The following is a 23,400-nucleotide window of genomic DNA, read 5'->3' on the forward strand; positions in this document are numbered from 1 at the left end:
AACTGCATTTTACTGTAATTGGTTTCCTTTGCAATGCTGTGTATTTAATTTGTGCATTTAGCATCATTCTGTGGAGGCCTCTGTGGGCTTCCCTAGCCTACCAAGGAGTGGTCTGTGGCATTGAAGAGGATAGGGATCCTTGGTTTGCATTTATAGTAACTGTTTCCTGTTCCCAGTCAGTGAATAAATCCTGTAAGTGGAGATAACTCTAGATTACAGTCTTGACCATCGCTTGATTTATTAATAGTTAAATTTACAGCTCCTCTTTTTGGCTCCTTGAGGCTGCCGTGTGTGTGCACACATGTGCGCCTGTGTAGACTACGGCTTGCCTTCTTTTCAAAGACATCAGAGATTAGGTGATTAGGTAGAAGCTTTTGAACAAGCCCAGCCTTAAATCTGCCCTCCAGTCCTGTTAGATCCTTCTTGGGAAGCTGGTCCCTGTCCCTGGCCAGTCAGTCTCAAGTGAGTGGGGCTGAGAGGAGCTGCAGGCAAAATAAATACCCACTCCTTCCAGAGTTACTTGCCTTGAGACGTGACCTTCTGGGTCACTCTGGAAATGTGCAAAGTTCCAGTGCCCGAGTGGCGTGTGTTGGAGACGCTGAGGCTGGTTGGATGACAACACTAAAGCTGGGGTTGGAAGACCTGTTTGGGGCGGCCTGGAAAAACATGTATGGTGCCAGATCATGGGCCCTGGTTGATGTGAAAATAATCTGCTGTAGATCATTAGGTTTATGGAACTTGGTTTGTTTTTTGTTTTAATTCTTATTTTTAAATAATGATAGACTTAGGTTGCAAAAATAGGACATAAGATTCGGGAGAACTTCCTCCAGCTTCCCCAGTGGTGTCATCTTATGTAGCTGAAGTTCAATATCAAAACTAGAACATCAACACTGACACATTACTGTTAACTAGACTACAGACCTTCAGCCCTCACCATTCTTCATGTTTTGTGTGTGTGTGTAGTTTGTGTGGACAGGTCTATGCAGTTTTATCCCATGTATAAATTTGTGTAACTAACACCACAATCAGATACAGAGCTGTTTTATGGAACTTATTTTAAAACTTGATCGGGAGGCAAATGGCAGTGAGTTTGCATCAGTTCTGTTAAATTGTCCTTTAGCCTCAGGTCACAGTGGTGGTTGTAACATCTGCCTCCTGAGTCACCTGTCTGGTCAGCCTTGGGGCTGGAGGTAGAGATTTGACTGTAGGGCTGAGCCCCAGAGTATTTGGAGTCCAGTGCTAGGTGGGCTATTATTTACAGGGCTCAGCCTGGATCTGGAGCACTGCAGCAGGAGTCTTGGGTGCCAGTGGCCTCTTGCTTCACAGGCACAAGCACTCTGGGGCTAGACCTTGGGAGCAGAGTATGTTTCTCTGGGCTGGAGAGCAGGAATAATGTGAGTGAGGGGCAGGGCACAAGGGCACCAGCTGAGTCCTCAGGGGTTCAGAGAAGAGCTCCAGGCCTCATAGGCAATGAGGGGACAGGTCAGGAATAAATAGAGATGCCCTGACTAGACCTGGGTGGCGTGGTAAGGGTTGTAGGGTAAGGTCTTAGCCTGGTGGGCATGGGGGTACCCAGGAGCCCTGCCCTATCCTTCCCATGCACACTGGAACTGACTGTGCTGAGTACAGTCAGATCGGACATCACTGCTGGGCATGGCTTCCTACAGCCTATAATGTGAGATCCGATTACCACAGTAGATGGGAAGGCATTTGATACAAATCCCAGAGCACACTCAAAAACTAAGGTGGTGGTTTTGTCCCAAAGCTGGTCATGGGTTGATTGTCTCTTTAGCACCTCTCAGTTGACCAGGACATCTGATTAAGTGGAAAGCTACATTCTCCAACCACAAAAGATAATAATGTTCATACTGTGTCTGGGTTTTATGGTTTTAGATATCTGGCAATGCTGGTGCGTGTATTTTTTTCTTTTTTCAGACGGAGTCTTGCTCTGTCGCCCAGGCTGGAGTGCACTGACGTGATCTCGGCTCACTGCAAGCTCTGCCTCCTGGGTTCACGCCATTCTCCCGCCTCAGCCTCCCGAGTAGCTGGGACTACAGGCGCCGGCCACCACACCCGGCTAATTTTGGTGCATGTATTTCTATTTTTATTTTTCGTTTGCCATTTCTTCCAGTTTCCTTGGTTAAAGTTTTCAGCTAAGTACTTACCTTTATAGTCAGAGATAACGCCTACTCTACACCTGCAAGTATCATTCTCCCACCCTACCTTTTCTCCTGGCTGATTCCAGCAATGTGGGACTGGCTGGGGGGTAAGGGGCTAGCACATGGTACAAGACCAGCTCCCAAGAGCAAGTGTTGAGTGCAACCACTATGGAAAACAGTATAGAGGTTCTTCAAAAAACAAAAAATTAATTAAAAATTAAAGAATTATATGATTCAGCAATCTCATTACTGGGTATATATCCAAAAAAATTGTGAAATCACTGTCAAAGAGACGATCTGTACCCCCACATTCACTGCAGCACTATTCACAATAGCCAAGTTACAGAAACAACCTGAGTATCCGTCGACAGATGGATGGCTAAAGGAAATGTGGGCTCTGCACGCAATGGAATATCATTCAGCTTTTTAAAAGAAGGAGCCAGGCATGGTGGTTCATGCCTGTATTCCCCAGCACTTTGGGAGGTTGAGGCAGGAAGATCACTTGAGCCCAGAAGTTCGAGACCAGCCTGGCCAACACAGTGAGACCCCGTGTCTAAGAAAAATACAAAAATAAGCTGAGCATGGTGGCACATGCCCGTAGTTTCGGCTACTCGGGAGACTGAGGTGGGAGGATCGCTTGAGCCCAGGAGGTCGAGGCTGCAGTGAGCCAAGATCCCACCACTGTACTCCAGCTTGGGCAACAGAACAAGACCCTATTTCAAAAAAATAAACAAGGAGAAGGAAATCCTGCCGTTTGTGACAACAAATGGATGGACCTGGAGGACATCATGCTAAGTGAAATAAGCTAGTCACAGGACAAATATTGTATGATTCTGCCTGTATGTGGGATCGAAAATAGTCAAACTTAAAGAACGCTGGTTGCCAGGGAATGGGGGAAGAGGGAAATGTGTTGTTCGGTGGGTGTAAAGTTACAGATATGAGATGAGTAAGCTCTGCAGCTCCGCTGTACAACATAGTGCCCATGGTTTAGAGTTGGGCACTTACAACTTTATTAAGAGGGTCAATCTCATGTTAAGTGTTCTTACCAAACACACACACACACACACACACACACACACAAAGGGACACAAGGAAGCTTTTGGAGGTGATGATGTGTTTATTACCCTGACCATGGTGATGGTATTATGGATGTATGCACGTGTTCAAACTCATGAAATTATCTATATTAAATATGTGCAGTTTTTTGGTATATCAATCATACCTCAACAAAATTGTAAAAAACAAAAAAAGAGTAAGTGTGGGAACAGTGAAGATGGAGAAGGAGGGGTAGGGGTGGTTTAACCAGGCAGGCCCTACACTGTCCCTGAGGGGGACACCTCAGGTGGTGTGGGGGTGTCGGGGAGTCATGGAGCTGGGTGCTGCCGAGTCTGAGCACCATCCACCCACCGCCTGGTAGAGCTGCGTGGACTGAACCTGGGACAGGCTATCAGAGGAGGGCCACAGGTCCATCTGTAAATACGACTTTTTTTTTTTTTGAGACAGAGCCTCACTCTGTCACCCAGGCTGGAGTGCAGTGGTGCAATCTTGGCTCACTGCAACCTCCGCCTCCCGGAATCAAGTGATTCTCATGCCTCAGCCTTCTGCGTAGCTGGGACTACAGGCACCCGCTACCACACCCGGCTAATTTTTGTATTTTAGTAGAGATGGAGTTTCACCATATTGGCCAGGCTGGTCTCAAACTCCTGACCTCATGTGATCCACCCACCTCGGCCTCCCAAAGTGCTGGGATTACAGGTGTGAAACACCGCACCCAGTCTAAATATGATTTTTGAAACTAAACTTGTGGCAGGAGGACAGGGTTGCTGCAATCCCAGGACAGAATAAATCTGAGAACCTCCTGCCTCTATTTCCTCCATTCAACTTCCCTTGCCCATTAGTGTCAGTTTCATCTTCCAAAAAACACCATCATTTCATAACTTCATTTCTAGGAAAGCCACAATTGCTCCTTTTCACTTCACACACCAAGTCTAAACTTCCCTGTGTAACTCTCAAGGCTTTCCCCATCTGACCTCACTCGGTCAGGTCAGCCTTCCTTCTCATCAGTCCTTCATTCAGCAGTCTCTGAACCTTCCCCACTGAACACACCTAGTGCGCTTCTACCTCCTTCCAGACTCTACCCCCTAGCATGCTGGCCTAACAACATTGGCTTTGATGACCTGAACTCCAGATTCGCCTGCTGTCCACAGTTTCTTTCTTTCTTTTTTTTTTTTTAATGAGATGGAGTTTCGCTCTGTTGCCCAGGCTGGAGTACAGTGGTGCAGTCATAGCTCACTGCAACCTCGAACTCCTGGGCTCAAGTGATCCTCCCACCTCAGCCTCCCAAAGTGCACATTTTCTCATATGTACCTCACAATCAAACACAATTGCCTTTTTATAGGATGTATTATCTTATAACTTCTACCTGTCATTTATCTATGTGTGATTGGTGAACAAGACAAAGCATATTGTGTTGTTCCCTAATTGTTTCAGTGCAGAGGCCTTGTCTCCCTAGCCAACGGGAGGGGAGGGATTTTTAACCAAGGCTGTATTTTTTGGTCTGCTCTGGGCACCCGTGCTGCCATGTACCTGCATCTGTGCTTGCTAGGTGACAGTACAACCAGCTCCCATGATGCAGGGCCACACAGCCCTGGTCTGGGTTCTTCCTTGGCAGACTCGTCCAGCACAGACTGGAGTTTATAATTACAGTAGTCATTAGCCTGGAATGCAAGGGCCTGGCAATCAGGATTTTTTAAGATAATGTTTAGGTTTTACTTGGGCACAAGATAGTTAAACTCATTTTGAGATAATTGTGAAAGATCCAAATTGAAAAAGAAGAGCCAACAATACTTTCTTGTTACTAAAAGTTGATATCGCATAAACCTGCGTTCTGCAAACTTGGATCTAGAGCATGACAAGATAGCCTTGAAAGATGAATATTTCAGAGAGAGGAGGATGAGATCCCAAGGGCCAGCAGTGTGCTCACTCTCTGGAATAGCTCCTGCAGCCCAGTGAGTAGAGTTGTGTACCCCACCTTCCCTTCTTTGTGGAGACTGGAGCTGACTTTGCTCTGCTGGGTCATCTTAGGGTTGGGGCAGAGACTGTATCTTCCATAGGTGGATTTCATTTTCAGAAGCATCAAGCCTGGCATTTTCAACAAAGTGAGCAATCTCACTTTGTAAAATCAAGTCAATTTTGGAGGAGTAAAAGTCATACATATTCATCAAAAGAAAATTGAGCAATATAGAAAATTGAGATATAAAAAAATTTAAGGAGCAAATAGCTATGCTCAGGGTTTGGAGTGCCAAATCATGGGTTTGTTCCTGGTGCCATGCCACTGTGTTCTAAAACAAGCCAGAGCCTCCAATTATAATCAGTAGCTCTTCCTTGGTTCCTTTTGCCACTGCCTTCCTGCTGTTATCCAAAGACTTCTTCCCTTATTGTAAAGGGGGAGAGTTCTCTCTGATTCTTCTTCCTCTCTCTCTCTCGCTCTCTCTCTTTCTGCTAATTGGAGAAACTTCTGTCTCATAAAGATCTTAGTACCCGGACATCCCAGGAAAGAAAAATGGTGCCCAGGAAACCCACTCAGAGTGGAGTTTTGAAAGTGATTTTTTCCCGTCTGCCCAGGAAGCCAGCACATAGTAGGTGTGATGCAGTCTCCCTTGCTGCAGCCATTCCCCGACTGGAACCACAACAGAAAGACAACAGATGGGCTGTGGACAAAAGAATTTCCTTGGATTTTCCTGCCTAGGGACATCTTGGAAAATGCATATCTTGAAATTAGTTCTGTAGCCGCTTGTCAAAGGAATAATGAGGCTGTTGGTTTTTTAGACTTTGGGAAGGTGCCTGTTCTCATGCTGCTAATAAAGCCATACCTGAGACTGGGTAATTTATAAAGAAAAAAAGGTTAATGAACTCACAGTTCCACATGGCTGGGGAGGCCTCACAGCAGAAGGGAAAGGAGAAGCAGAGGCACGTCTTACATGGTGGCAGGCAAGAGAGCATGTGCAGGGGAACTCCCCTTTATAAAACCATCAGCTCTCATGAGACTTATTCACTGTCACGTGAACAGCATGGGAAAGACCTGCCATCATGATTCAGTTACCTCCCACCGGGTCCCTTCCATGACTCGTGGGAATTGTGGGAGCTACAATTCGAGATTTAGGTGGGGTCAGAGCCAAACCACATGAGAAGGATTATGTCAGAATGATTTGGGGGTGCTGTTTTAAAATGCACATCCTGGGCTTCACCCCTGTAATTTCCGCTCCAGATAGGACAGAACTGGGAATCCACAACAACTTCTAGGGTGATTCTGACCACAGCCAGGCTTGAGAGCTTTGTGGTGTGTACTGCTACTCACAGGACTGGGCAGTAGACATGAATGAGATGATCTGCCTTTGTCAGAGTCCTTCAGAGCTTCTGTTGTGGGTAAATATTGGGAAAGCCAATCCTCTTCAATAGGGTTCATATGAAATTTTATAAGCCATTTTTATAAGTCAGAAATAGTTGATGGTTAGCAATTCTATGCAGTTTCACTGATAGAGCCAGGAAGTGAGGCTGGTTGGGGCTTGGAGTTGACCATCTCCTGCCTGCTAGCTTTGCCGCCTTGGCCAAATAATTTGGACTCTCCAAGCCTCCATCTTGCATCTCCAGAATGGGGATTGTGACATCTCCTTTGCCAGATTCTTGTAAAATGTAGAGTTTACCGTGTACATGTCAAGTGTCCCTGGTACCTCAGTAGCTACTGTTTTTATCCTATTGTGATAACCATTCCCATCTTCCCCCCTCCCCCCACACTGCCCTAAACACATCCCGGGTTACTGCCTGAGTCCTCGTAGACCTTGGGGAGACCAGTTTCTCAGTCTTCACTGCTCCTAGGTGTTCTCCCGCACCGTCCAATGAGATGTGCAGTGTCCTCCCCGAGGCCTGTTTGAAATATGTCCTTGATGTTGCCACCAGAAGGCCCTGATTGCAGCCACGTGTCCACCAGGGGAGCCCCGCAGTGCTTCCCACCTCACATCCCACTCAGCCACGTCCAGCTTGGTATACCAACAAGCATCAGACAATGATGTTAGGGCCATGGGGTGCCATTGAGGTAATGGTCGGCCCTCCTCTCCCTTGGAGAGAAGGCAGAATTCTTCCCACTGAGCTGACCTCCCCGTGGCCCCTGTGGCCACCACCCCCACACCAACTTTGTTTGATCCATACTTCTTATTCCCAAACTCACTTGGCACACTCTTGTCACACAGCCTTTCACTTGTTCTGTGCCTCCTTCACCTAGAACATTCTTGTTTGTTTGATTGTTTGAGACAGTCTCGCTCTGTCGCCCAGGCTGGAGTGCAGTGGCGCGATCTCGGCTCACAGCAACCTCTGCCTCCCAGGTTCAAGCGATTCTCCTGCCTCAGCCTCCTGAGTAGCTGGGATTATAGGCAGGTGCCACCACGCCTGGCTAGTTTTGTATTTTTAGTAGAGACGGGGTTTCACTATGTTGGTCAGGCTGGTCTCGAACTCCTGACCTCAGGTGATCTGCCCGCCTTGGCCTCCCAAAGTGCTAGATTTATAGGCGTGAGCCACCGCGCCCGGCCACCTAGAACATTCTTTATCCTTTCACAACTGCAGGCTTGCTCCCCACTTCTTCCCTCCTTTAGTTTAACCGTCACCTCCTCAGTGAGGCCTCCCCTGACCACCCTATTTACAATTGCAGCGTCCGCCCCACCTCCAGCCCTCTTCACCCCTCTCCTGGATTTATTTGAGTCCAGAGCACCCCTGCCATCATTGGTCATTGCCCGTCTCCACTCGCTACCACAGCAGCGCCACAAGGGCTTGTTCACTGGTCTACCCCAGCACCCGGACAGTGTCAGCACACCGGAGGTGCCCAAGAAACGTTTCTAAAAGAACGAATAAATGAGTGGCAGCAGTATTTTAAAAGATCGAAATTTCCCGCCTTTGCCCACACACACCTTATTTCCTGAGAAAAGTTAAACTTGCCAAATAAATATTCCTTTCAAAAGGAAAATGAAGATAACAAGCTTGTCTTCTCCCCATCTTTTCCTGCTCTGTCTGAGCAGAGGGGCCTCACCGGGTGACTGATTGAAACTATTCATTCTGAGCATTGGCACAAGCACAGACCTGCCCTTGCACAGTTGAGCTGCAGGGGTGTGGAGGAGCAGGGGAGTGGGTACGGAGGGGGTGGGGGGCTCCAAACAGCAGGTAGGTGTTGGCCCACAGCCTGACAGGGAGCACTGGAGACAGGCAGGAGGCAGAAAAACAGAAACAGCACCATGGGGGGATATATAGAAGCACTCTGCGGGGAGGAGGGGCGCATGATTTTGATTACAGCACAGGGTACCTATTGATTGAATTATTAATAAAGATTAAATTGAATCACACATATCCTATATATGAAGGCAGGGGAATCGCAAATACATTTATGCCAGTTTTTGTTTTTCAAGAGACAGGGATATCGAAGTCTCCTAAACTCAAGGGGTCCTCTGGCCTCAGCCTCCTGAGCAGTTGGAACTATAGGCACATACTACGGTGCCTGGTTTAAGCCAGTTTTTAAACAACAGCTTTACTGAGATTTGCATTCCATAGAATTCATTCTTTTTTTTTCTGAGACGGAGTCTGTCTCTGTTGCCTAGGCTGGAGTGCAATGGCGCGATCTCGGCTCACTGCAACCTCTGCCTCTTGGGTTTAAGCGATTCTCCTGCCTCGGCCTCCTGAGTAGCTAGGATTACAGACCCGCACCACCACGCCTGGCTAATTTTTGTATTTTTAGTAGAGACAAGGTTTCACCATGTTGGTCAGGCTGGTCTCGAACTCCTGACCTTGTGATCCGCCCGCCTCAGCCTCACAAAGTGCTGGGATTACATGCGTGAGCCACCGCGCCCGGCCAGAATTCATTCTTATAAAGGGTACAATTCAGCAGTTTTCAATATATTCACAGGATTGTGCAACCATCACCACTATCTAAATTTAGAATATTTTCATCACTGCATTAGCAGTCACTTTGTTCTCCTCTCCCCCAACCTTTGGCAGCCACCGGCCTTCTTTTTCTATGTTCTGGACCTGTCATATAAAGGGAATCGTACAGTGTGTGGTCTTTGTGATTGGTGTCTTTCACTTAGCCTGGTGTTTTCAAGGTTCCTCTGTGTCATGGTGTGTATCAGCACTTCCTCCGTTTTTGTTGCCAAATACTGTACTGCATTATATGGATATACTACATTTTGTATATCCATTCATCATTTGGGTTCGTTCTACTTCATGGCTACCACTGAGTCATTTGGAAATGTGATGCAAGGCTCAAGGCTAATGGGGTTTCCTCGCTTCCAAAAAAGAGGTGATGTTGCCCACCTGGCAGGTGGGTATGAGGCTCAGCAATGGTACATGCATCTCATTTAACTGGTCACTGTCAACTCCAAAAATGGGCCTTCCCCCATTTCTGTGGCTGTTCTGTGCTGGTGTGCAGTGTGTAAGATGGTCAGTGTTCCTGTGTTTTGACTGGTGAGTCAAGTCTGAACTCACTAGCCTAGCACCTGAGAGCCTCCTCATGGGATAGCATCCCCCTGACTCCGCCTGACAACCATCATTTCTCTTCAGTTTTCACTCCTGCCCAACTGGTTTCTTCGCAGTCTATGCCCAGGGCCTCCAGCTTTCTCACACTTGGGCCCTGCTGGGGCATCCAGCCTCTGCTCCTACATCCTTGGGTCACTGCAGGTCCCTGCCCGACCCTACCTTTCTTCCTCCGGACCTCATATTAGACCAGCTCCTCAGGCCTTTTTGGACATGACCGTCTCAAAGTGTTACTATGTTTAAGTGTGTGGTTTTTTGTTTATGTGTGTGGTTTTGTGTCTTTGATATCGTTGATTTGCCTTATGGCCTCAACCAAACCCTCACTGTAACATGGCACAGGCAGCGCCATGTGACATCCTTGTCCCTGGCCCGCCCGGCGCAGCTCACAGTGGGCTCTCTGTGAATGCTGGCTGGCTGAGTGTCTGGGAGTTGTGAGCCCTTTGCCATGTAACTGGAGAGGGTGGAAGTGTGAATGGAGACACCTGCTCAGTTGTACAATGCTCTTTGGACAGGGGATCAGGTTTAAATCAGTTTGAAGCCTGCTTTACCACCCCCTGCCCCCACAATTGTTATTTCCTGAAAGCATATGGTTGGCTGAGCTAGCTGAAAAATTACCCGAATTTTGATAAAAATTTGAACCATGGATTTCCTTTCTGACCATGCCTAGCTGTGTAAATTCCACAGGATAGTAACAGGTGCCTGGCCACCATCCAGCAAGACCCCTGATAACGTCCATGCAGTGGGGAGCCACGGGGGCAAGTGCTTCCCCTCCCTCCTGGTCATAGGCTTGAGCATGGGTAGCCAGGATGGGGGGTGGGTGCAACTTGAGATAAGCAAATCGACAACAATGAGGTACACCCTGTTCTTTGTCCTCTTGTCAACTTGTGATTTCCCGATGGATCAGGTAATCCCCAGTAGCAGATAACTCAGTTGAATTTTTTCACTGTCGCTGTTATCTGTATTCATTGTCTGCCTAAATAGTAGTGAACAGAGAAAAAAAGAACATTAAAATAGGAAGCTGGGAATGACAGGAAGAGGGACTGTAGGCCTGGTAAACAAAAGTTGGCTGTAACATGAGCCAGGATATGGAAGCGTGACCAATACTTTGGACTCTCTCAATGCTGGCCCTCTGCGGTTCATGGCTCTCCTCCCTTTCTCGCTGTCACCAGCCACGTTTAGGTCAGTCTTTGTTTTTGGCTGTTGTTCCTGAAGACGCATTTATCAGGTGGATCTCTTAAAATCAGGGTTAGGGATTGGAAGTCTAGCTGGGACAATTCCTGTGAAGACAGACTTCCTTCTGATGAAATATTTACTAGCTTTTGTAGGAAGCCATCTCCTCCTCTTTGCTGTGATAAGAGGTACTCCCCACCTTTCTGTCTCATGGCAAGGGTGGAAACTGATGATATTTGTAGGGCATACTGGGGTGAGCCAACAGGCTGGAGGCAGCCAACCCTGGGCATGCAAAGAAGCACCGTTTGGAAGCTCTGGTGTAGCTCTCGTGCAGCAGCAGTCCAGGCCCTGGGACATCTGAGTTTGAGGCTTCAGTCCTCCGCTGACTGACCATATGTTTACACTGCAGCCTGTTGTGGTATGAAATGAGATCTGGAAGCACCTGAGCTCCCCAGTGTCTGCAGGTAGATGATTATTTAATACCCTCTTCCCATACATCTTCATGGTCAGGAGACTGGACCTTGGCAATTCTGTTATTAGACAGCTCCACTCGTAGGGAATTTCTCCCTTATATTTAGCTGTTGTTTTCTCCTCCATTCCACTGTCTGGAGTCCCCATGGCAAGTTCGCATCCTCTTTCATGTCCCTGGCTCCAAAGGCTTTGGTGTCTCCAGGTAAGTAGTTCTCACATGGGCTATGACCCCTCATCCTTCATTATCCTAGAAAAATAATGCTTTTCTGAAAATTGTATATTCCATGGGAAAATCAGTAGATTTTGGAAGCCTGACATCTTAGTCCGTTCTGGCTGCTATAACAAAGTGCTGGCCAGGCACAGTGGTTCACGCCTGTAATCCCAGGACTTCAGGAGGCTGAAGCAGGTGGATCAGTTGAAGTCAGGAGTTCAGGACCAGCCTGGCCAACATGGTGAAACCTTGTCTCTACTAAAAATACAAAAATTAGCCTGGTGTGGTGGCAGGCACCTGTAATCCAAGCTACTCAGGAGGCTGAGGCAGGAGAATCGCTTAAACCCAGGAGGTGGAGGTTTCAGTGAGCCGAGATCGCACCACTGCACTCCAGCCTGGGTGACAGAGCGAGACTCTGTCTCAAAAAAAAAAAAAAAAAAAAAAATCCAACCACAAAGTGCCAGAGGGTGAGTGGACTATAAACTGCAGACATTTATTCTCATAGTTTGGGAGGATAGAGGGTGAGATCAGGGTGGTGGCACTGTCGGGTTTTGGTGAGGACCCTCTTCCAAGTTGCAGACTGCTGACTTCTTGCATTCCTCATACAGTGGAAAGAGAACAAGCCAGCTCTCTGGCCTCTTCTTATAAGGGCACTAATCCCATTCATCAGGGCTCCACCCTCATGACCTAATTACCACCCAAAGGCCCCACCTCCAAATACCATCACATTGGGGATTGGATTTCAACACAGGAATTTGGTGGCAGGGGTGTGGGGCACAAACACCTTATAATATTTGCCATATGTTTTAAAAAAATTTTAAGTATAAAGTCAACATCCACCACACTATATAAAAGAGAGACCTGGAGTGGTGGCTCATGCCTGTATTCCCAGCACTTTGGGAGGTCGAGGAAGAAGGATCACTTGAGCCCAGGCATTTGAAAGTGGCCTGGGCAAGAAAACAAGACCCCATCTCTACAAAATAATAAAAAACTAGCCAGGTGTGGTGGCGCATGCCTGTAGTCCCAGCTACTCGGGAGTCCGAGGCAGTAGGATTGCTTGAGCCCAGGAGTTTGAGGCTGCAGTGAGCCATGATTGCGCCACTGCACTCCAGCCTGGGCAACAGAGCAAGACCCTGTCTCTAAAAAATAAAAATAAAAAAATGAAAAAAGGGAAAAGACGATTATAATCCTACCACCTAACAAACTGTTTTCATTTGAGTCTTATCTTTGTCTTTATTCTGATGAATTCATATTTTATATAGTTAAAATCAAAGCATAGGTACACAGTTTTTGGTGGTTTCTTCATTTCATTATATAATGATTTCCCTCAAAGTTCTAGGCATTATAAGATGAAGACGACAGAACACAGATATCATGTAGCTGCAGTAAGCATTGGGATGGCTGCACACCATTCTGTGGAACGGATATAGAGTCATTTGTTAACCAGTGATACTGACAGAGAGCAAGCAGATCAGTGAAGACAGGAGCAGGGCCCCCGAGCCCTGAGAAAAAGCAGGGACCTTGCCAGGTGAGGAAAAAAATGGTATGAGGTAGGGCTACACTACGCTCCCAGAGACGTCTCCATGGACAGTGAGCTCTTTAGAGGGGAAAGGAGTAAGCTTTTGAACCATTTGAATTATTTAGAAGAAAAAAACACAGTGCCTTTCTTACACACTTTTCAGAATTTCCTGTGTTTTCACCTGCCATTAGCTGGTTACTGTTTGGGCTTCCTTTCATGGTGGTAAACACAGTTTGTTTTGTTTAGCCATTTCCTTCCCCCTCAAATACCAACACAGATCAATTCAGTCTTTGCCTGAGTCATACATGGTTCATGTGTCTCTTTCCTTCCATCTATCTCCCCTTAATTCACACTATTTACTGAACTCCTCCTGTGCACCCAAGTCTCCAGAAGGAGCTGGAGAAGGAGCAGGGTGGCAGGGGTGGGAAGGGGACAGCTGTGTGGAAGGCAGCGGGGCTGGAATCCTGGCATCTAGGCCCTTTCACGCTCCCACTCAGAGGGCTCTCTCTTCAGGCCAGAAATGCTGATATTTAATGAGCACTTACTAGATGGTTATTTGTCCATTTTATAGACAGGGAAATTGAGGCCTGCCAGTGTTAATTGACCTTTCTACGGCCTAGAATCTGAAGTTGGTGCAGCCTCACTGAAGCCCTGGCTCAGCCATGGTTGCCACCCATCCTGTCTGAGCTTTGAGAACCACAGAGACAAGACAGGCGGCAGGGCTGTGATTTTAGACACTCTTGTCTTAGGTGTCTCAAGGTGGGGGTCACTTTGGAGCCTCAGCCAACCCCACTGTGATTGGATCTCCTGCCTACAGCCTGTTTCAAAGGGAAGTGGAGTTTAGGGAGACAGTCAAGAGGATGGATGGAAGAAAGGGGCTGGTTAACCTGAGAGGAGAGAAAGTAACTACCCACCCGTCAGAGCCTGGGGCTGATAAGGGAGGGCTCCTGGAAGACAGAGCTGGTGCTTCTCTCCACCTCTGAGCTGCTTTCCCTCCAGGGCCACTGGCTTCTGCAGGCGTTGTTGTCTTTTGCTCCTAAACAGCAAAAAGAGACTAATTGCCTTTATTGCCATGTTAAAATCAATAGAGCCACTCACCCTGAGTTCAAAATGATACGACCTAGGGAATGAAATTGGGACCACCTGTGGTTTGTTTCCTATTAGCCAGGCACAGAACAGTTTCTTGTTTCCCTTGGAATGAAACACAACCTGAGTCCTGGAGGAATAGTTCTCAAATGCATCCGGATCTCCTGGAGAGCCTGTTAACACACAAGCTGAGCTCCATTCCCAGAGTGTTTGATTCGGGGATTCTGGGGTGGGGCCCTGAGAATTTGTATTTCTAAGTTCTCAGGTGATGCAGATGCTGCTGGTCCCAGATGGGACTCTGAGAACCTCTATACTAGGTCATCTCTCAGACTTGGGCCTTTGTTCTCATCTTCCCCCTCCAAAACCTAACATAATCCACTACATGTGGTAGAGAGCCATCAAAAAGAGAGTTTCAGTCAAGGGGCTCTGGCTAAGTCCTGGAGCTGAGCTGCCCCCTCCCTTGCTCTGCTCACACCTTTCACCCCTCAGACTGAAACCCTCCGTTACCTGCTGCTATGCAGGGATTAGGATTAGAACAGGGCTGAGTGGGCTGGTACGGGGAGGGCCCTGCTGTGGTGTTGGTTTAGCTCCTTTTAGCACAAGGAATTTGATGAGCTAAGCATTTTCCACGGCAAGTGCATAAAAAAGATTTCTTACCATTTTTTGAAAGAAAGAAATATATCCTTTCTCTTGAGTCATCACTATTGTTAGTTGCTGAATGAAAAAAAAAGACTTAAAGCTCTGTTCTTTGAACACTTTTCTCTGGGTGCCTTTCTGTAGCTGTAGAAGATCTCTTGGGTTAAATTTTAATAATTGTTAATGGCTTCACACATAGGGGGTGTCTTGCCCTCCTGTGTAGGGTGTCACTGCCCAGGACGTGGCTTAGCCGGGTCCTGGGAACAGCTGCAAGGACTGTTGGAGAAAGGGGCAGGGGGCACTGGCTGGGGAGAGGGCCGAGAAGATCTCCTTTGAGAGATGGGGAGGGAGATGTGAGGCTGAGAATCTAGTATTGAGTTTCTAAACTTCTGATCTGCAAAGTGGTTTTTTTTTTTGTTTTTGTTTTTGTTTTTTTTTTTGGTAGAGACAGGGTCTTGCTATGTTGTATGTTACCCAGGCTGGTCTTGAGCTCCTGGCCTCAAGTGATTGTCCCGCCTTGGCCTCCCATAATGTTGGGATTACAGATGTGAGCTACGGTGCCCCAAAGTGCTCTTTTTGTTGAACAGTGTGTGAGCCCAGCTACCTGGAGGGTGTGTCTACCTGCCTGACCCTCAGCCATCGCAGCCTCATGACGGCTACACCCCGCACATTATCATACCCCTCAAATGTGCCTTCCAACCCCACACAGATTTCTTGTGGTTCCCATCCTGGTGAATCTTCTCAGTTATCCACATTACAGACCTCAGTGGAATCTTCCACACCACCTGGCTCATGATGGTCTCTGCTCCTTGCCTTTCACGTTCTTCAGAGGCTAGTGACTTCCTAAAGTGAGGATTGAGGAAATAACAACCACGATAAGAGTTACAGCTGACCCTGGAGTGTTTCCTGTGCACCAGGAGCCCGTTCCAAGTATCTGTATTTATTCACTCGTGTCATCTGTAGCAGCCCCAACACATAGGTTAGGACCTGTCACTAGTCCCATTTATAGGTAAGGAAGCTGAGGTGCTGGGAGGTTGCATGATGTGCCGAGCATCTCACAGCCAGCAAATAGCAAGTAGCTAGACCGCTTCCTCCCTGGCAGGTCTGAAGCACATGATTCCTAGCCCCAGCCTTCCTAAGGGCCCCTAACAGACGGTGGCCTTCCCCTGGCATCCAGAGTGGCTCTGCTGACTGGAGCAGTCAACTGTTTCTCCTCTGCAGTTCCTGAAGGAAGGAGAAAAGGGGGAGGCTGGTGGGTTCAGGTTTCGTAGACCTAAGAGGCCAGCTGCCCTGTGACCCCTCCTGAGTTGGGGCTTCTTTTTGGGGGATTAGGGAGGAGAGTTATAAGAGAAAGAGGTGCGGAGAGCAGGGAGCACCTGAGAGAGGGCTGGAAGAAGTGGTAAATAGATGGACCTGCCCAATGAGAGTAGCCAGCGTGTGCATGTGAGGGGCAGGTAGCACAGAGGGAATGTATTCCTTGTCTAACTTGGCATATAGCCAAAAGCTAGGTGTAAGTTAGTAAACTACAGCCTTCAAAACAGCCCCTGGGAAAGGCCCTGCTTTGGAGGGTAGAAGGACATATAGGAGGCTCCCAGAGGTACGGGTGTGCCTCCCTGCTGGGCATGGGCCCGCCTGCTGGGGGCAGCAGCAAAAGGAAGCAAGTAGCCCGGAGGAAAAAAAGAACTATGTGTGTGACTGTGTGGTGGCCAGGAGAGAGGGAGAGGGTTCAGCACACACAGGGAACCCCAGGCAGCTCCCAGAGCCCAGGGGAAGCATTCCTTTTTGTAGTTGAATGATCCCAGGGGAGCAAAAGGCTGGCTGGAGGAGAGGGAGAGGAATTCTGCTTGGAGGAGAAGGTCTGGGGCCAAACTGCCCCAGCTAAGGTGACTGGTCCGTGTGTCTGCATCTTAAATCTGAGACCATTGGTTCCTTTGCACCTGTGTAGTATCCTCAGGGAGGGTTCCCAGGGCGCTCGTCTGGTGTTGCCCCTCTTTGAGGCACCTCACTCATTGACCATTAAGCAAGCATCGAGTGGGTGTCAGTTTAACAAGTGTCTTGTGTTCAGTGCCAAGGCCAGGGGCAGGTACAAGGCATGCTGAATGCAGCCCCTGCCACAGGATCCATGTTTCAATAGGGAGGGAGACGCAGAACTTTGCGTAAAACTGAAACCTTATGGGGCGGGCCCTGTGGTGTCTAAGGCCACACTGGGAGTCTCAGATCCTGCCAAAGGACAGGGGAAAAGGGAGCAGCTGGTGGACATGGGGAGGAGGCAGGATGGACGGGGCGCCTGAAGGAATTAAGTGGGATTTCGGTTGGAGAGGAAAAGCAAAGATGGCAGGGAGAGACGAGGCCCTCAAAACTGAGCTTGTTCGTCAGATGGGAGATGGACATCCAAGCCTCTCCATGAGGTCTGGCACGTGATCTGGGGCACGGTCTGTTCTGCAGTCATAGCTGCTGGCCTGCGGGACCTGCAGGCAGAGTCCCTGATACTCACTCTCTGTGAGTTAAGGCCAGATGCAGGCTTCAGACACCTTTAACTGAGAAGCAGGTGGGTGCTGGCCTGGGGTGCCAGGGAGCTGAGGGTAGAAGGAATGTATTAATGCCAGCAGCTGCTCTCTGATCCTGGCCCTCTGTGACTTCCTCTTCACCCATTGTAGCATACCAGCCAGACTGTGAAGGAATGAATGAAGTGGGTAGAGAGGTTCCCGGTCAGGCTGTTCCAGGCAGGATAAGATAACCCTGGTTCTCTGCACTCCAGAGAGCTTGTGCTACCAGCTTTTGATGCTAGAAAACCCCAGGTGGGAAATGGCCCTCTGAGTAGACTGGACATGAAGCTGGTGATGATTACTGCTTCAGCAGGGACAGAATAACCACTTTCAAAATAACACCCCGAATGGCTTAGCACAATACAAGTTGATTTCTCTCCCCATCACGGTCCAATGCAAGTCTGCATCAGCACTGCCTGTTCATTCAGGAACCCAGATCTCCCTGTCTAAGAGCTCTGCTGTCTTCCTGAGTGGTGGCTCCCACTTGGAGTGTCAGAATCACCTGAGGACTTGTGAAAATACATTGCTGGGTCCCCACCTCCAGAGGAAAGGTCCTGAGAATCTGCATTGCCAACAAGTTCTCAGAGGATGCCGATGCTGCTGGTCCAGGGAGCGCACTGAGAATCCCCGCTCTAGGGCTTCGTGGTTCCTCACTAGAGCTTCTGCTTCAAGGGGTGAGAGAGCAGAAGTCAGACACAATGGCCCCACTTCACTCCAAGGAAGCCTGAGAAATGTAGTCCTTTTGTGCACCCAGGAGGAAAATCAAATGGTATTGTCTGTGCCACAGTGAAAAGGGGCAGCACAGAGCCGGGTTTAACCTGGTATCTGCCTGAAATACTAGATATCAAAATGCATTTCAAATGGATGGGCAAGTCAGCCAAGAGTGTCACTGACTCATAGGCATACATGCCTTTCAAGAAGGCAGATCATGAATGGAGGTCATTACTAATGTATAACTTGTCCTATTGTGCTAGCACCAAGGGGAGTCACCTAGGACTTGGGTTCCTAGGATGGATGGCCCGTGGTGTCCCTAGTCCAAGCTTTATATCCTAGGCCTAGGGAAGAATGCGTCAGACAGTAGTCAGATCATCATTGGACCTGATGGACTTTGCTTCTGACATTTCCATGATTTTGACATGTCTTTCTTGGTGTCTTTGCTGCCTGGTGTCTCTCAGAGCCCATAACCCTGCTGGCTTGAATAAGGCAGTAGGTGTTTTATATTCAGAATCTTAGCCATGGTGAATAAGCATGTCATATATAGTTCAGCCCTGATTTTGGGGAAAATCATCGGGCGAGTCAGCAAGTTTATGTCTGTGCCGAGCATTCTGGAGGATGTAAGAGAACATGACTCCAGGCTGTTTGGAGAGGCAAAAGCAACCCAAATAAAGTAAGTGAGGACTTAGTGCAGACTGCAAGTGTATTAGCCAGAGGTGGCATTACAGAGCCCAGCTCAGGATACGGAATGGCTCCAGCAACTCTGTACTGCTCAACCCACTTCTGGAGCTTCAGGCTTAGTTCTAGGAGCTGCAGTTTCACCAGGACTTAGACAAACAGATGATAGCAAGGGTCTGGGAGGCCTCTGCCTGGAGAAGAGGGAAAGTCAAGGGGCATTTCAGCCATTGAAATCTTTGTAAAGTTGGGTCGTGGTTGTGGGAAGAGAGGTGATACAAGGTGTCATTCCAGGAAGGAAAGCTAGGCCTAAGTTCTCTCCTCTTCTCAGTGGAGTGAGGTTGTTTTTTGTCTTGGGGTATGTAGGCACCAGAACTGTTCACACAGTTTGGCAGATTTCATGTTAAGGAAATGACTTTGGGAAGAAAAGGAGGTGTCCATGTGGGTTAGAAATCTGGAAGGGCATTTTCCATGGAGCGAGCCTTTAGCCAAGCTCTAAAGGCCAGGTAGGATTTGGGTGAGCAGGAGGAGAGGACGCTGCAGTCAGCAGATGGGCAGTGAGGCGGGGAAGAAAGGCGGAACCAGGCCTGGTATCAGAGCTGGGGCTGGCAGGGGAGAGGCAGTGTTCGGGAAAGTGGAGTCCGCCTGAAGATTGTGGGACCTTCCGTGGGGAAGGTAACCCGGAAGCAGTTTCAGATTGGGTATTGGAGGAGAATGAGCGGACAAGGAGCAAATTTAAGAGCCAGCTTTCAGGAAATAGGTCTATAGTCCTTGGTGGTTCTGGTGTCTAGATGATGCTGGTGATTATGAAGTCTCTTTGCAGCCCCAGCCCTTGGAGCATGCAGGTGGAAGGCCAGATTCCTCACCTGGAGAGCTCCGCAGAAGATGATCTCATCAACCTACCCTTTTCTTGGCCCATCTTCATGGTGTGTAAGGACAAGGCTGCAGCACTTGGACCCTCTCTCAGGGGATGCTGCTGTGCTTAGACTGAGGTGGCCCTGCTGATGTTCCCTGCCCTTGGTATAGGGGCGGGACAAGGCTAGGGAAACTAACGGCTGTGCTCCCCTCTCTTCTACCTGGGCTAGGTCTTTGCTGTTCAGTTTGGCCAGGCGGGCTGGGCTGTCACATGAGTGATCCCTTCTGATCCTCACAGCACCCTTACAAGGCAAAGACTCTTAGCAGCCAATCTGTTTTGTTTCTGACTGAAACAAGCTCAGAGAGTCAAGGGCCTGGCCCAGGGTGTCACAGCAAAGTTCAGTGACAGGTTCTACCTGTGTCTTAGTTCTCTGACTCCACATCTAGAGCTTGTTCTCTTCCACCATTCAAGATCTTTTATAGCCCCAGATGAAGAATTTCATGTTTCTTAGGAAAGTGACTACCTGGGCAAGGACTTAGCGACGCCTGAGAAATTAGCTTCAGGAGAGTGTGCCCTAGTAATGATAAGTGACGTAATAACCAGCCTGTATTGAGGGTCTACTCTGTGCCAGGCCAGCGTTTGAACTCATGAATCTGCATCACAGCATTTTTTTTTTTAAGAGATGGTGTGTTGCTCTGTCACCCAGGCTGGAGTGCAGTGGTGCTATCGTAGCTCACTGTAGCCTCAAACTCCTAGGCTAAAGCGATCCCCCTGCCTCAGCCACCCCATTAGCTGGGACTACAAGCAAGTGCCACCACACTCAGCAACATCACGTCTTACAGAAGAGGAAATGGGAGGCACAGAGAAGAGAGAGGTTAAATGAGCTGTCTGGGGTCACACAGGTAGAGCCAGTCTCAAGCAGGAGCCAGCCGATAGTCTCACACTGAACCACAGGGCAGCCAGAGCTCCTCATGGAAGCTCGCTTGTTTATGTGGCCCAGCTCCAGAGAGGGTTGTCCTGTCTATCTCTGCTTGTGGGTTTTCTGGGGAGGCTGCATTGGAGAGAGAGGATGTGTCTCAGCCTGACACACCACACTCTGCTGAGGTTGTGGCAGTCCCTGGCTTGGGGTTAGGACATCTTAGGAAGTGGCAGCTCACGCCTGTGGCGGGTTTTTGTGATGGGCTGATAGAGAGGAAGGTGGTCAGAACTGGGAGGGCCCTCACTGTGCGGGTAGCCCCATGTTGGTGGAGGCCTCCTAGTCTGTTTGTATGCACTGCTGCCTCATTTAACTTGAGACTTAGATCCTCGGAGCAGCCTGCCAGGAGATACGAGTTTACCTCCCAGTCAGGAGACAACACAGGGGATTTTTTTTTTTTTTTTTTTTTTTTGAGACGGAGTCTCGCTCTGTCGCCTAGGCTGGAGTGCAGTGGTGCAATCTCGGCTCACTGCAAGCTCTGCCTCCCAGGTTCACTCCGTTCTCCTGCCTCAGCCTCCCGAGTAGCTGGGACTACAGGTGCCTGCCACCACGCCTGGCTAGTTTTTTGTATTTTTTAGTAGAGACGGGGTTTCATCGTGTTAGCCAGGATGGTCTCAATCTCCTGACCTCGTGATCCGCCTGCCTCGGCCTCCCAGAGTGCTGGGATTACAAGCGTGAGCCACCGCGCCCGGCCGCAGGGGACTTTATTTTAGAGCCCGATCAAAGTAACATGGAAAAGCTAAAGGTTCTCTGAGCTGCAGTGGCTCCTCCTTTCCATGAGGGGGCGCCATCCAGAGTCAGCGCTTCCTCTGAACACATCCCACTTGAATGGGACAGGCAGCCATGGTAGCCATAGAGCATATGGGCCCACACTGCTTGCATTTAAATTTTCACTCCTGTTGTTTCCATGATGAGCATTCCTCAGGTTCTATGCCATAAATTTATAATTTGGGAAATATGGTCACCATTACCATATGGCTCCCATTGTGTCTTCTAATTTAGCAAAGATGATAAATTTGTTTCCTGAAAATTTTAGGGTTAAAAGCATTCAATTGGATTTGATTCGTTGGGAGTTGGTGATGTGCCTGATGTATCTGTAACAGGAATATCCCATTCTTCAACCATGCTGCACACAGAGTTAGGAGTCCCAAAGAAGGCATTTGCCTGAATAATTCCATAAAACGTGTATGTAAAAGAAGTCATAAACGGAGGAAGGAAAATACTAGGTAGGTAATAAAGACATTTTTCATACTTTTATCCTGTTTGGAATATAAATTCTTTGTTCTCAGCTAGATTTGTACTGTACTAATGAGGAAAGGTAAACAACAACGAACTGCCACCCTTTGACATGTATATACACTCCTTTTCTTTGCATGTGAGTTGGTGGATACCATGTATAAATGTCTGCACATGTTGGCTGAGTGTAGTTTGGTGAACATACTCCGTCCCCTGCCCCCAGCCCTGACTAAGATGCAGCACCAGATACACATTTTGGAAGAACTGACCTTATTGTTGTCAAGTAGGTGGAACTTGTCAGAACGTCATCTTTTTCCTCTTACCCCTCCCACCCTCATTCATTCTCCAAGTGCCCTTTTCATTTCACTTCCTTTTAGATCCTCCTCTCAGCTGTCAGCTAAAGAAGACCTGATACTCTGATTCACCCCAAGATTCAAAGCTCTCATTTCTTATCTCTCCCAGAAGAATTTTCTGGATGAGCCTTTAAGCCAAAGGTATGACTGTCTAATAGCGGAATTTCAGTCATCTGGGACAGACTAGATGGGGAGATGTTAAGGAAAGAGACTCTTCCTGGTGTACCCAGAATTATAGAACTCAGATGTCCTCATGTGCCCTGTGTTTCTTGCTAAAAGTTGTATAGTTTTGTGTTTTACATTGAAGTCTTAAGTCTTACATTTAAGATCCATTTTGAGTTACTTTTCATATAAGGTGTAATGTTTAGGTTGAGGTTGATTTTTTTCCCCCTCCTGTAGATGTCCACTTGCTGTAGCACACTTTGTTGAAAGGACTACCTCTCACCATTGAATTGTTTTTACACCTTTGTAAAAAAGCAAGTGGGCAATTTGTGTTCTCTATTGTGTTCCATTGATCTCCATGTCTAGCCCTCTACCAAGACCATGCTGTCACAGTTACTGGAGCTATATAGTAAGCCTTAACACTGGGAAGAGAGATTCCTTTATTCTTTTTCAAAATAGTTTTGGCTCTTCTAGGGCCTTTCTCTTATGTTCACAAGGAAACTTATACATGTGAATGTTCATAACACCTTCATTCAAAATAGCCTCAATCTGGAAACTATCCAGATGTTCTTCAGTGGTGTATGGTTGACCAAACTGTGGTATATCTATACCATGGAATACAGCAATAAAAAAGAAAAAATTATTGATCACATGCAACAATATAGGCGAGCCTCAAGGAAATGATGCTGAACGAAAAAGTCAGTCTCCAAAGGTTATATACTGCATTTGCCATTTATATAACATTCGTGAAATGACAAAATTATAGCGAGGGGGAACAGATGAGTGGTTGCCAGGTGCTAGGGATGAGGGGAATAAGGGATAGGTGTTGCTCAAAAGGGGTAGCATGAGAGAATCTGGTGGTAATGGTACAGTTTAGTATTTTGATTGTGGTTGTTACACAAAGCTACACATGTGACAAAATTACATAGGGCTACACATACACACACACACACGAGTGTTTGTAAAACTGGTGAAATCTGAGAAAGTTCTGTGGAGTGTGCCAATCTCAATATCCTAGTTTTGATAGCATGCTAGTTAGCTATGCAAGACGTTAACATCGG

At 47.9% G+C, this 23,400-nt stretch overlaps 1 protein-coding gene and 1 long non-coding RNA gene across 3 annotated transcripts in view, besides 2 other annotated features; both read left to right on the forward strand.

The window, feature by feature from the left end:
• TCF7L1 (transcription factor 7 like 1) overlaps window positions 1-23,400 on the forward strand; it is a 176,996-nt gene that overhangs the window by 31,593 nt on the left and 122,003 nt on the right. The gene's annotated exons all lie outside the window — the stretch shown is intronic.
• Window positions 16,408-16,545: a silencer, noted in NCBI's record as "fragment chr2:85408515-85408652 (GRCh37/hg19 assembly coordinates)". NCBI's record gives its function as "represses an EF-1alpha promoter that drives an FKBP-Casp9 reporter gene in an ReSE screen in both phorbol 12-myristate 13-acetate-treated (for megakaryocytic differentiation) and untreated K562 erythroleukemia cells {active_cell/tissue: K562 | K562(+PMA)}" and the evidence as "EXISTENCE:reporter gene assay evidence [ECO:0000049][PMID:32094911]".
• Window positions 16,654-17,301: an enhancer, noted in NCBI's record as "H3K27ac-H3K4me1 hESC enhancer chr2:85408761-85409408 (GRCh37/hg19 assembly coordinates)". NCBI's record gives its function as "activates a minimal SCP1, AML or CMV promoter by ChIP-STARR-seq in naive H9 embryonic stem cells {active_cell/tissue: H9 hESC(naive)}" and the evidence as "EXISTENCE:reporter gene assay evidence [ECO:0000049][PMID:30033119]".
• TCF7L1-IT1 (TCF7L1 intronic transcript 1) lies at window positions 21,425-22,269 on the forward strand. Its single transcript, NR_046797.1, has 2 exons — window positions 21,425-21,814; window positions 22,202-22,269. It is a non-coding gene; the product is annotated as a TCF7L1 intronic transcript 1 (long non-coding RNA).

The sequence above is a fragment of the Homo sapiens genome, chromosome 2 (assembly GCF_000001405.40).
Source record: "Homo sapiens chromosome 2, GRCh38.p14 Primary Assembly".
Lineage (NCBI taxonomy): Eukaryota > Metazoa > Chordata > Mammalia > Primates > Hominidae > Homo > Homo sapiens.